The 13117-nt window shown below is 38.1% G+C and overlaps 1 protein-coding gene across 3 annotated transcripts in view, besides 1 other annotated feature; it reads right to left on the bottom strand.

The window, feature by feature from the left end:
• Positions 1-13117, bottom strand: part of STMN2 (stathmin 2) — a 55042-nt gene that overhangs the window by 9967 nt on the left and 31958 nt on the right. For all 3 annotated transcript variants that reach the window (NM_001199214.2, NM_007029.4, XM_005251142.3), the window contains one exon: positions 1130-1321. In NM_001199214.2, coding sequence (NP_001186143.1) covers positions 1130-1321 — 192 coding nt within the window. The remainder of the gene's footprint in view (positions 1-1129; positions 1322-13117) is intronic.
• Positions 10308-10457: an enhancer, noted in NCBI's record as "active region_27547". NCBI's record gives its function as "activates an Ori minimal core promoter by ATAC-STARR-seq in GM12878 lymphoblastoid cells {active_cell/tissue: GM12878}" and the evidence as "EXISTENCE:reporter gene assay evidence [ECO:0000049][PMID:35858748]".

The following is a 13117-nucleotide window of genomic DNA, read 5'->3' as shown; positions in this document are numbered from 1 at the left end:
TGAAGATCTCCATGCAATTATATCTTTAAAAGTTTTCATGCCTGATTTCCTTTGTTTCTAGTTGGATATTTGCAGTCAGAGACTGAGAATGAAAACAGAATCATCAGAACTTCAGGATAAGGTTTTTTGAACCTTAGATGAGAAGGGCCATCTCTAACAGAAGACATGAAACTCTGAGAAATAGAAAACAGGAGGCTCATCTAATTAAACTCTCAGGGCTCTGATGACAGGCACACTCCTGTTTTGCTCTGCATCTCCAATGCCTATCACACAAAGGCACTTGCTACTGGCGGGAAGGGTGACTGACTGCTCAGAAAAGGATTGAGGCGTCTTTCTCAAACATCCCATTTCTCAATGCTTATTCCAATTTCTGGAAACGGACACAGCTAAACTACTCACAGCTATACTGTATATTTTCAAAGGAAAGGTTTTTTGAGGGGATAGGTGGGAGACAGCATAGAGAGTACAAAAGTGAAAGACAGCATTTTTCAGAAGAACTCCAGCACAGCTCCTCCTGACTCATGGGAATGAATATATGTTTAGGTTGTTGAAGAGAAGGGCACCAGGATACCAGAACTGGATGAAACATCCCCTATGAGCTAATCTTTGCTATGGTCCCATGTGATGCTATTATACCCTAGAATGGGCTTACCAGTGTTCATAAATACCCTGGCCTTTTCTGGCAAATATATTTTTCTAATTTAATATTTTAATTAAATATATATTTAATGTCATATATTAAACAAATATTAAATCAAATGTTATTTATACTTATATCAATATAATATATAGACATTAATATTTCCAGTGTAACATTTTTCCTACAGATTGCCTCGTGAGGCTTGTATAGAAGTCTTACACATTTCAAAAGCATGAATCAGCCTCCCTGAATCCACTCACCATGGGAAAATTTGACAAAATTCCAGCTTTCATGATGGATTCCCATTTCTCTACCATGTTGCACCTCCTGCTAACTCAATGCTACACTGTGAGACCCTGCCCATGGGAGTTAGTTGTCCTCACACCTGCAGCAAATTTTGACTTCGTCTCTGTGCTCAGGCATATGGAAGTTCACCCAGCTGTGCTGCATATGAATATATCCATCTGCTCAGGACTCTGCTGAGATTACCTTTTCCTGCAGACGTTCAATAATAGCAGCTAGATTAGCCTCACGGTTTTCCTTAATTTGTTCCATTTTCAGGATCAGCTTTTCCTCCGCCATCTTGCTGAAGTTGTTGTTCTCCTCCAAAGCCTTCTGAAGGACTTCTCGCTCGTGTTCCCTCTTCTCTGCCAATTGTTTCAGCACCTGGGCCTCCTGAGACTGGGGAAGAAAAACATAGCCATCTTATAATTATCCAAACACAAACCTAGCAGAATAACGGCCCACCAATTGGAGGGAGCATTCTTTTCAGATGAATAGTACTCCCAGCCTTGAGCACTATTGTCAAGTCTGTACTCATCTGCATGGCTTAGAGTTTTCTATAGAATGTGGCTAGTTGGGAAATGCGGTTAGCTGAATTTTCAGCTGTGAGTATATTTCGGACTGTCTTAGAAGAAGAAGCATTTAATCCTCATTGAGGAGTTACAAATTTTTTTAAAAAAAGGCTTTGTTGCTAAGCGTTTATGCAACAGAAAATGCTATAATGAATTACAGGATGGCAATATTCAACCAAAGCCTGAGGAAAACAGTTGAGGACTGAGACAAGTTCTGATCTTCTTCCTGATCCATTGTTTTTTCATCAACTGTAGGCTAGGCCCTACAATAAGCTTTTCAATTTTCATCAATCAAATAATCAAATTCACTTTCTCCTTTTATTTCACACCCCCTTCCCCCCTCCCTATCCCCCATACACCAAAGTCTCTTTGGAGATCTGAGAACAGTGCAAACTTAGTGTCCCCTTGGCCACAGAGAGCAGAAAGTCCTTGTTTTGACCCTCTCTTGAAACCCTGTGGTTGCTCAGTGATTTAGATCCAGATGTACACCCTGCCCTGCACTTTGAGCACTGTAATTTTCTTCCAGCATCAGGAGTCTGTTTGGCTCTGTACAGTGAATGGTAATCACTGGAGCACTTGATAACAATGCAGGTGCCTGGCATCTACCTCCAAAGATTCTGATTCCAAGGTTCTTTGGTGAGGCCCAGTGATAAGCATCACTAGTGACTCAAATGCAGGTAGTCCAGTCTACCTTTTGTAAGTCATACTGGCATGGGCTTTGATGTCAGGCCTGTGTTCAAGTCTTACCTCTGTTTGTGACCCAGGATGTGTTACGTAACTTCTTTCCATATTCTTTTTATTCTCCCCATTATGCAGCTGAGAAAAGTCCCACCCAATACTGACCTATTTAGGTTTAAGACTAAATTATTACACACTCATGGCTTCTGGATAATTTCTCAGGATCAGCTGATGCCCCGAGGCAATCCTTCACAGGAGTAATTATAAGTGGGAATATCTAAACAATGGTTGATCAAAAAATAATCCTAAGTGCCCTGTTAAATACTGATTACCATTGAAAGCATTAGTGGGAAAACATTTTAGTTGATGGTAGTGGTTGTGGACATTTACTGGAAAGGTCTTTTTGTATAAACAATATGGGGCCTGGAGAAAGGAGAAACTTCTCTTCAAATAAAATTCTACAGAAATGGGAAAGTCAGACAGCCTTACACATCTTTACTGATGTGTTTATTCTCAAGTTGATCAGGAATAGGTCTGTGGCTCACTGGAGATTAGACAGAAAATCCTGGGAACCAGCCCTGCCTCTTGCTTTAACCCCATAATGGTTTCAGGACATTTTACTATTTATGTGTTTATTTTTTTTTAGATAGAGTCTCGCTCTGTCACCCAGGCAGAAGTACAGTGGCGTGATCTCTGCTCACTGTAATCTCTGCCTCTGAGGTTCAAGCGATTCTCATGTCTCAGCTTCCTGAGTAGCTGAGATTACAGGTGTGTGCTACCACACCCTGCTAATTTTTGTATTTTTAGTAGAGATGGGGTTTCGTCATGTTGGCCAGGCTAGTCTTGAACTCCTGGCTTAAGTGATCCACCCGCCTCGGCCTCCCAAAGTACTGGGATTATAGGTGTGAGCCACTGTGCTTGGCTGGTTTTAGGACATTTTTAGTGGAACCAATGCTTTCTTACTTTGTATTGGTTTCAGGAAAACCAATACAAAAATAATAAGAAAATTATAACATAAATTGAGTTCAAACTCCAATGGAGCCTTTCTGGAAGAAATATGAATAAAATATTTTCTAGCTGGTTCACTCTCCTGCCTCTAGGTGGGACTGTTGGTAAAGCATCCTACACAGACTTTGCTTATTTGCTGTTATCAGGACTACGGAATTGTTACAGGGAGAGAGGTGTGTGTGTAAATATTTAAAGTTTCTCTCTCTGGGAAAAGTCTTCATGAAATTAATTTTTTTGGTAATGGATAAGAATAGTACCTATCTCATATGGTTGTCAGGATCAAACAAAATAATGTTTGCAAGGTATTTAATGCAGTGTCTAATATCAAGTAAGTTAGTACTGAATGAGTGGTAATCATTATTATCAAAAGCAAAATTTAAGACACTTGTGACAAGGAGATGATGGCAACTGGACTTACTGGTATAACAACTCAAATGCAAAATTTTGGCAATTTCATGTGTGTGAAGTATTTGTTCAAACTTCTTTGATTATGAACAGTTAGTGGATTCAGGGATCCTGATGGTTGATGAGAGTCCAAGTCCTTCCTAACTCCCTCATCTCCACCTCATGCATGCCCACTGACTTGGGCTGTATTGATAGGAAATCTCACAGTGAAGTGAGCACCACAAAGAAATAAGAGGAGACAGCTTTGCACCTTCATTTTAGAAAATTCAATACATGTAACCTCCAGTCCAGCAAACCTTCTCAAGGAAGAAGGCTGGATTATCACAAAACAAGGGTGCAATGTGTCCAAGAATTAGGAATTGGGTTAGAGCCCTAGGTTTCTCTTGTAATGAACAGAAATCCATGGAGGATGCTCCAGGAGACAAAGTCAAACCAAACAAATCAAAATAAAGCAAAGTAAAACTTCAACATTCTCTAAGTGCCGTGCTTTAAAATCATTTTTCTATCTTAATACACTGTTAGGTAATGCTCTTCTTAGCAACTGGTACCCATCAGCCACAGCTGCTAAAGGCAGGTAGCAATGTAACATTTCTGCTCAGTGGTTAAACAATTCCTTCCTGCTCCTCCTCCCATAGATCAGTGTTTCCAACACTGCCCTAGATAGGATCCACCTGGATTTTTAATGGCCACTTTTTTCAAGTAGCCTTTCTACAGAAGCTCCTGTGGCACAGTGACATGAGCCCCAACCTGGTATTTGGAAAGCCTGGGTTTGCATCCTGCTTTGCTGAGCCTGGCCCTTTGAGATGGACTTCATGGCCAGGGGCCTTGTGCCTGCTGCTCTTCAGACAGGATCAGCTTACAGAGAGTTACTGTGAATTATTATCAAGAGGCCACTGCAACTGCCTAATGTTTCATTTTCAGATGCTCCAATTAAGTTTGGCACTTTGTTCAGTTGTGTTTTAACTTAATGTTTATATTTGTGTTCTTAATTTTCCTTTGTGAAAGAACCAAAGTCAAGAGGAAACAGCAGGGAAATAAGATTCAGACGGGAAGGCTTTGAAATTACAAGGTAATACAGCAACACCACTTTTCCATACTTCTTGCCTTGGTGGGACACATTTGATCTGCATGAACAAACTCCTGTGGTTTCCATTATGAATAATGGAGAATTCCCATTATAACCAATGCCTACTCCATTTACTGGAGTGCAACATTTGGCTCAGTTTGAAATGACTCAATTTAATGGGGTTAGTACTTTTGTTGCTATTGGGGCTAAATGAGATTACACAGCATAGGTGTCAAGTGCATTTCTTTAGCACAATTAATGGGGTGAAACAGAAACAGAAGGCAGTACAGAGTGTGGTCACGTGAGTCTGCTGCTAACTCACAGAGACCTGCCAAACTAGGCCAGGCTGTGCTTCAGGGCTGCTCACTTCTGTGGTACCTTTTCTTACACCCTGGAAGGGAATGTTATATCCACTATTAACTCACACATTTGCAGGACTTAATAATTGTCTGTGTTTCAAATATTTAAAACTTAAGTCCACACATACAAAAATACAGGATGTCAAGTCAATTATGGTGGAAAGCATTCTATCCCAAGGAAATACTTATGACTTCCTATATTAGTCTCTATTCATAAGCATTCAATATTTTTTTTTAAATTTAGAGACAGGGTCTTGCTTTGTTGCTCAGGCTGGAGTATAGTGGTGTGACCTTAGTTTACTATAGCCTCAAATTCCTGGGCTCAAGAGATCCTCTTGCCTCAGCCTCCTGCACAGCTGGGACTACAGGCGTGCAACACGACACCTGTCCAGCAGTCAATTTTTGAACAAATTATTCAGGGGCGCTAATAACCAGGGGGGCATCTACCTCAGTTCCTGAGGTCTCTGCTACCCCATTGGGGTAGAAAGGCATAACCTCGCTTCCTTTTTCACAGTGTAGCATCCAGATAGATATTGCTGCCCATAACTCCTCTAACTCATTTCTTAGGTAGAAATTGATTCTCACATGAACATAGTTTAATCTTCTAGTCAGACCCTCAAGGAAAAAAATTGGCTCTAATTCCAATGAGCAAATAGGCAGTTTAATCAATGAGAAAATAAGCAGTTAGTCCAGAAAACTGCACTAAAACATGACATGAAGTGAGTGAGGCTGTAGAATAAAAAACATGTGACATACAAAAGTGGCAGCATTTTCCTTCATTTTTGGCAGAGAAGTAAAGTTCTCACTACATGTTCAAATAGGTATTCTTACTTTATATCTTGACTGTGCAGATTAGCAGAAAGGAATTGTGATTGCGTGGACTTATGAAACGGAGGGTGGTGAAGTGAGAAAATCGCTAAAAGTTGTTAAAAATAAATTGTTCAAGGAAAAAGTATCTGGCCTTGGAGGAACACTTCTAAATAACCTGTACCTAACATAGAAGGTCACTAAAATATTAAAAGGGAAAATTAGGGCAAGACAATGATCAGCTGATATAATGCAAATGTCAAGGCAAAATATAGAACTGAGATGTTCAACGTGACGTTCCGGGAGACTAAAGAACCTTCTCGATCTTGCTATTATGGGAACTGAGGCACGTTATTGGTGAGCACCTTTTCTAGGCATAAACCTCCTCACACTGAACTCAATCATTGAAATAATTACATGAGAGGTACGTGAAGCGAAAAACAATGAGACAGGAAAGGAGACTTATTGTACATTTAGGAACACTTTAACATTTTGCAAAGAGGTTAATTACCAATTTGTATATTACTGAGTGTAAGAGTTTAATTACTATACAAATGGAGTGGAAGATAAATTTGAGTAACTAGTACATAAAACTCATTTTACTTTATGTACACAGATGAGACTTAAGACTACATTTTAGATAGCACTAATTTTCCATTTATTTCTGAAGTAAACATATTTATTTTCTTGTCACTTTTCATTATTTGGGGGATATATTACTTGCTATCCAGGACCGTTGATCAGACACTAAATCTCCTAGTACCAAAAAATGCTTTTACACAAGTAGGGTAGGTGATGTGTCTGTAATTATTGACTTTACTGCTGACAATGAAAATCATTATTGACCCATCTAAAGTCACAAATAATGTCCTGTTGAAATATGACAATTGAATATAATTATGTAAAACCAAAGAGTACAATATTCACTTTGTGTTGAAGAGCCTGAAGCATAACAGGAAATTTAAAATGATTAAAATCCTAAGACCTTTAGAATGAGCCCTTCTGCTAAAGTGTGTAATGGGTTTACTGTGGTTAGCTCCTAGGAAAAGAAACTTGGGGGTGCTCTTCTTCACCGAGAAGGTAGCACACGGAAGATTCTGTGGCCCACGTGCCATATTCTGTAAGGAGCAGAATGTTTCCTGAATGTCAAGCGGTGAATAATCCAGTACTTTGTTTCATAATCCATTGCTATACAAACCACCCCCTCTTTCCCTGGATTCCATTTTAATTGCCATCTACAATGTGAGATGCCAACAAATGGAAAAGGTAAGTCTATCATGTTTGGTGACTAATGATCTACTTTTATGCCATTTTATTAAGAATAAGCAACACATCTTCCTTTCAGAGGCTTAGTGACTTTGAAGCTGATTATGCCAGTAATGAGAGCATGCTAATGAAATCTCACTGAACTGGTTCAAGTAGGGTGATTTTTAATTTAATCTCTTTTAGGGTGAGATTTTATCAATGTCATTAAAATCCTTTTGTTTTCACAATATTAATTTTTTCAGGACACTTTTAGTTGGCCTGACCTATTTATATATCTATTACCTATCAAACTGTCTTTTCTTCTATGCAATTTGATAAAGAATATTTTATAATATTTAAAAATATTGGCCGGGCATGGTGGCTCATGCCTGTAATGCCAGCACTTCGGAAGGCTGAGGTGGGTGGATCACCTGAGGTCAGGAGTTTGAGACCAGTCTGGCCAACATGACAAAACCTTGTCTCTACTAAAAATATAAAAATTAGCTGGGTGTGGTGGTGGGTGCCTATAATCCCAGCTACTTGGGAGACTGAGGCAGGAGAATTGCTTGAACCTGGGAGGTGGAGGTTGCAATTAGCCAAGGTGGCAACACTGCACTCCAGCCTGAGCCTGAGTGGCAGAGCGAGACTCCGTCTCAAAAAAAAAAAAAAAAAAAAAGCAACGTATATTGTATGGTAGCATTTCAGTCTCTGTTGATGAGAAACTTCTTTTCTTTATAAAATCATGAGTTTGCTAGATAATCTCTGTGAGGTCAGAAACTGGATGCTTCTTCACATAGTAATTGCTAACCCTTTTACCATGCTGGTTATATGTCTTTATTGTAGAGTAACCTTCCAATTCTCACACTAACTCCATAAGTTCTATTACTAGTCTCATTTTACAGATTGACAAAGGAGGACATACGGAGATTAAGTCACTTGCTTGAGGTCACACAGCTTTTAAGTGGTGGAACCAGGATTTGAACACAGACATTCTCTTAACCACATGTTCTTAAAGACAATATTTTAAAGATGCCCTTAAACACTGTGCCCTGCTAAGGATGCTCATGTAATTGATTGTCCAAAGTGGAACACTTATGAGAGTAAAGAGAAATAATTAATAATGGTATCAAAACAACGAGAGTTAGCTGGAGTTGTCCTGGGCCAACTGGGATGTATAGTTATGCTAACTCTGCTGCCTCTTGCTAAATACATGTTGGTTGAATGAATGAATAAATGATAAATGGATGGTTAAAGCATTCATGTCATTTCACCCTTGTGGGTCAGTTGCATTATGGAAACTTTGATTTCAAGAGATGAGGTTCAAACTGACCTGATGAGATTGATATAGACTCATAGAGATGATCATCACTGACTACCAGCGATAATCAAAGAATGGAGAAAAAGCAGGGAAAGGGCTTATTCTTTTTATGACAAGCTTCTTCTATTATCTAATCACTGGAGCACTAATTCTGGTTCAAAGGAGCCCGAGGGAGTATCCTCCAACCTAGTAACCAGATGGTCAGTGCTGCAATAGTGTCAACAGATGGAATGGGGAGGTGGGGACATTGCCAAAACATTGAACACAAAGTGAATCTGAGCCCAAGTGGCGATGCCTCTGTGGCAGCCTTCCAGCTATAAACCCAGAAAGCCCCCCAAATACAGCCTAGGTCATAGTTCCCTGAAGGGGTCCCTGAAGTCCCACAAAGAGGCCTTCAAGGTATTAAGGGTAGGGGGAGGGAGGAGAACTCGTAAGTTTTTTTAAATTTAAAAAGCCCTAACAGAAATCATATTTCACATCTATAGCCATGTCTATCTGTATATTTACTTTGAGTTAGAATTATGTCAATTTAGTGCAATACTGCTTATCTTTTAATAATCAGAAATAATTAGCAATTACAGATTCCTTTGATTATAATCATGGTAAGATAATTTATTAATAGTTATTTAAAAGTAATATGTTTGCTAGGTAGAATCTTCACAAACCTGTAACTTATTGGGAAGGAAATGGGTCCAGGGCAACGAAAATGTTGCTAACCCGTGGGCCAGGTGGAACATGTATGTATTTTTGAAAAGTCTGTAGTGACTCCTTACTGCTTATATAATGGAGTTTGCACACTAACCTGGCATTCACAGCCCTCCCTAATCCCACCTCGCTACTCTCCAACTCCCTATCCAAATCCACTAGTCCAAACCCTTAGTCTACCCACTGCTCTGAAACCTACACTTTCTGCATTCTCGCCTCTGTGGATCCTTAGTTCTGGAATCACTGTCTTAGTCTAGAATGTTTTCCTGTTTTCTCTATTTATCTAACACTATTTATTTTTCTAGTCATCTCCCCCTTTAAAAAAGGATACTTCTTTAAAAAGATGCTGTGATTCACATAAAGTAGTGAAATGGCTTTATTATCCTTCATGATCTCCCATTTCATGTGAAGTCAAAGTCCTTAATTGTGACCTCTGACTTCAGTTGCTACCACTCTCCCCCTGCTCTCAGCTTCAGCCACGCTGGCCTCCATGTTATTTCTCAAACACACCTCATACATTCCTATTTCAGGGCCTCCGCACCTGCTGCTCTCATCATTTTGAATGTTCAGGTCCCAGAGAAGAGCTGCCCGCCCTACTCCCTTGCTACCTTTGTGCTTCTTTTCAAATGTCTTATTCAAGAGGTTTTTTTTTGACTATCCAATAATTATATTATTATATATAGTAATAATAACATATAATATTAGCTTCTTTCACCCCCACACCCCCAGTTCTCTTTGTCCTGCTAATTTTGCATCATCTAATATGCTGTGTATGTATTTATTAGCTCTTTCTCCCCCACTGGAATGTAAGTTTGATGAGTATCCCCTGTGTCTAGAACAGGGCCTGCCAAATAGTAAGTGCTTGATAAATATCTGTTGACTGAGTGATTTTGCCCAGACTAGGATTTCCTTAGTGCAATTTCAGATGTCATTTGGAAACTTAGTGACTATAATTGTTTTAGGATGGGAGGGTGGAATAAAAAATCAAAACAAGCTATATATTGCCGCTTTCACATTTGGCCCTGAAAGTTATTATTTATTAATTTACTTAAAAACATTTGTAGTACTCAGGCAATGACTAACAGGAGTTGAATAAGAAAGAAAAAAAATGTTTACAGTAATAACTATTGCCAAGCACTATTAAACAAAAGACAAGTTCTATCTTCATGGAGTTTATAATCTAGTAGAAGACATAGGGTTAAATAAATACATATGCATATATATACTAATATGCCAGTAAATACTAATTACTTACTAATTGTGCTAGGTGCCACAAAGGAAAACCTGTTTACCATGAACGAGAGTGAGAGATGAAACCTAGGTTCAGAGAAGTCCCCTCCCCACAGTGAGGAACTGAAATAGAAACAGAGTAGGTAGCTGAAGAAGGCATGAGATTTAGAAGATCCTATTACTTACAGTACATCCTAAACTTCACACTTGCATTAGTTCTGACAATGTAAAGACTAAAACCATAGAATGGAAATTTCTTTTGAACTTTCTGAGTTCCCATATTAATGTAATTTTTAAAGAATATATATGAAAAAACAAAGTAAATTTGAATCTGAATAATTATCTGGTATGGATTTTAAAAACTTAGGCCTAAAATTTCCCCATTATTCACTAGGTGTTTTCTGTTTTAATATCCGTATCTGTGCTACTGGCTGCCTTTGGCTACTAGGCACTAGGAATATGTCTAACATGAATTGAAATGAGTTGTAAACGTAAAATACACACTGGATTTCAAACACTTAGTATGAATAAAATAATGTGAAACAGCTCATTAATACTTCTATATTGATTACATGCATATTGAAATAATGTTTTGAATATATTGGGTGAAGAATATTTTACTAAAATTCATTTCATATTTCTTTTATTTTAAAAAATGTGGCTTCTAGAACATTTAAAAATACACATATGGCTCCCATTACATTTCTTTCTTTTTTTTTTTTGAGATGGAGTCTTGCTCTGTCATCCAGGCTGGAGTGCAATGGTACCATCTTGGTTCACTGCAACCTCCACCTCCTGGGTTCAAGCAATTCTTCTGCCTCAGCCTCCCCAGTAGCTGGGATTACAGGCACTCGCCACTATGCCCTGCGAATTTTTGTATTTTTAGTAGAGATGGGGTTTTGCCATGTTGGCCAGGCTGGTCTTGAACTCCTGATCTCAGGTGATCCACCTGCCTCGGCGTCCCAAAGTGCTGGGATTATAGCCATGAGCCACCACACCCGGCCTGGCTCACGTTATATTCCTTGGACAGTACTGTTTCACAGAGCTGCCTAGATTAATATTTTTCATTCTATCTGTAAGAAAATAACGGCAACAGGGCAACAGAAGGGAGATACAAATTGAATAGTGTATGAACTAAATAATTATTCTAATTGTTATAGTAACACTAAACATTTATAGATAGAAAATGTGGACATCTATAGTTTTGTTTATTTAAGATCCATTACCCCTTCCTCTTGTGAGAACACCTCGATTTTCTTCTGGGGAACTACCCCTCCACAATTCTTACCCCAGGGATCTTACCTAAAATCCTTTGCAGGTCAGTGGTGGGCATGTGATTCAGGCTAGCATATCAAACTACTACATCCTCTTGGCCATAATGATTGGTTCTGGGTTGGGCCTGTGATCCAGGCCAGGCCATTGAGACTCAATTTCGGGACTTTTGTTAAACTATTGGGAAAAAGAAGCTCTGTTTCTGCTGGAGTTGCTAAGTTGTGAGAAAAATAATTTGGAACTGACTATTGAAATTAAACTTTCTTGATAATGAAACCAGTTAAATGCAGGAAGAGATGACAGGCACTGAAAGAAAGTTTTCTGATAATACTGTGATCCCTGGATCCAGCTGTTCCTGATGCTGTAGCCACTCCTAGACTTTTTAGTCACATATTTGCTTTTTGTTTTAACTAGTTGAGTTGGGTTTTGGTTATAGGCATGTCCTTACTAACATAATTACTGAGATATATGCACTTGCTAAAGACTCTTTAAAGATAATTAATAGTTCTTTAAATTAGTGCTAATTAAGTCAGTATAACCCAATAGAATAAAATCAATTAGTGATTTTTTAAAGTTGGCACTTTCTGCTAATTAGTTGTATTTTCTTTTAATTAAAACTCTACCATTAACAAAAAAAAACCATAAAAAACTAAAAATAAAACCCGACCACTAGGGCATAATCTATATGGTTATTTTTGCATTACAAAATGTTTAACAAATAACTGGAAAGGTGATGGAATACGGCTTTTAAAGCATTCTAAGGAATTTTTTTTTTCTGGGCATCATAACACTGGATGATTACATTTGTAAATGTCTTTTAACCATGTGGCCAGTTTCTAGTTCAATTCAATTGTTTAAATGTATAATCATTGATAATTTCTTGCTGTCAGGGTGCAGGAGCTTTATCAGTTTCATTAATTAGTAACCTCAGGGACTCTTATAAGAACACCTAGTTAATTTTGTTGATCCCAGTTCTTTTTTTATCCTCAATAATTTCTTTCAAATTAAGTGTAGTACCTAGAAACACCAGCAACATCCTAAATCAGGATGTTGAATTGTGGTTTGAGTTTTAATTTCACCTCAGTCACTGACTCCATATTCTAATCAAGTCATAGCATCTCAATATATGTCGACCTATGACTCTTATCTCTACCCAGTGCCTATAAGATGCCAGTGCTTGGGTCAGAGCTTAAACTGCTTTGGGTGCAACATGCTCTCCACTGTTTTAGGTATTGCTTACATCTGCTGGCAGCAAAGTTTTGATAATGTTGAATAATTTATTTTAGCTTTACTATGAGAATAAAGCTAAAAATAACAATAAAAAAGCTGATAAAAATGTTTTAAAGCAACTTCCTGTATATATATATATATATATAGTCGAGTTAGTAGCTCAGGTTCCTGTTTTTTAAATCTAGAACAATGATAACTAGTATTTTATATATATATATATATATACACACACACATACACACACCAATATTAATATATAATCATGGTGTATATATACCAATATTAATATATAATTATGGC

The sequence above is a fragment of the Homo sapiens genome, chromosome 8 (genome assembly GCF_000001405.40).
Source record: "Homo sapiens chromosome 8, GRCh38.p14 Primary Assembly".
Classification (NCBI taxonomy): Eukaryota; Metazoa; Chordata; class Mammalia; order Primates; family Hominidae; genus Homo; species Homo sapiens.
This window is presented reverse-complemented; position numbering and strand designations above follow the sequence as displayed.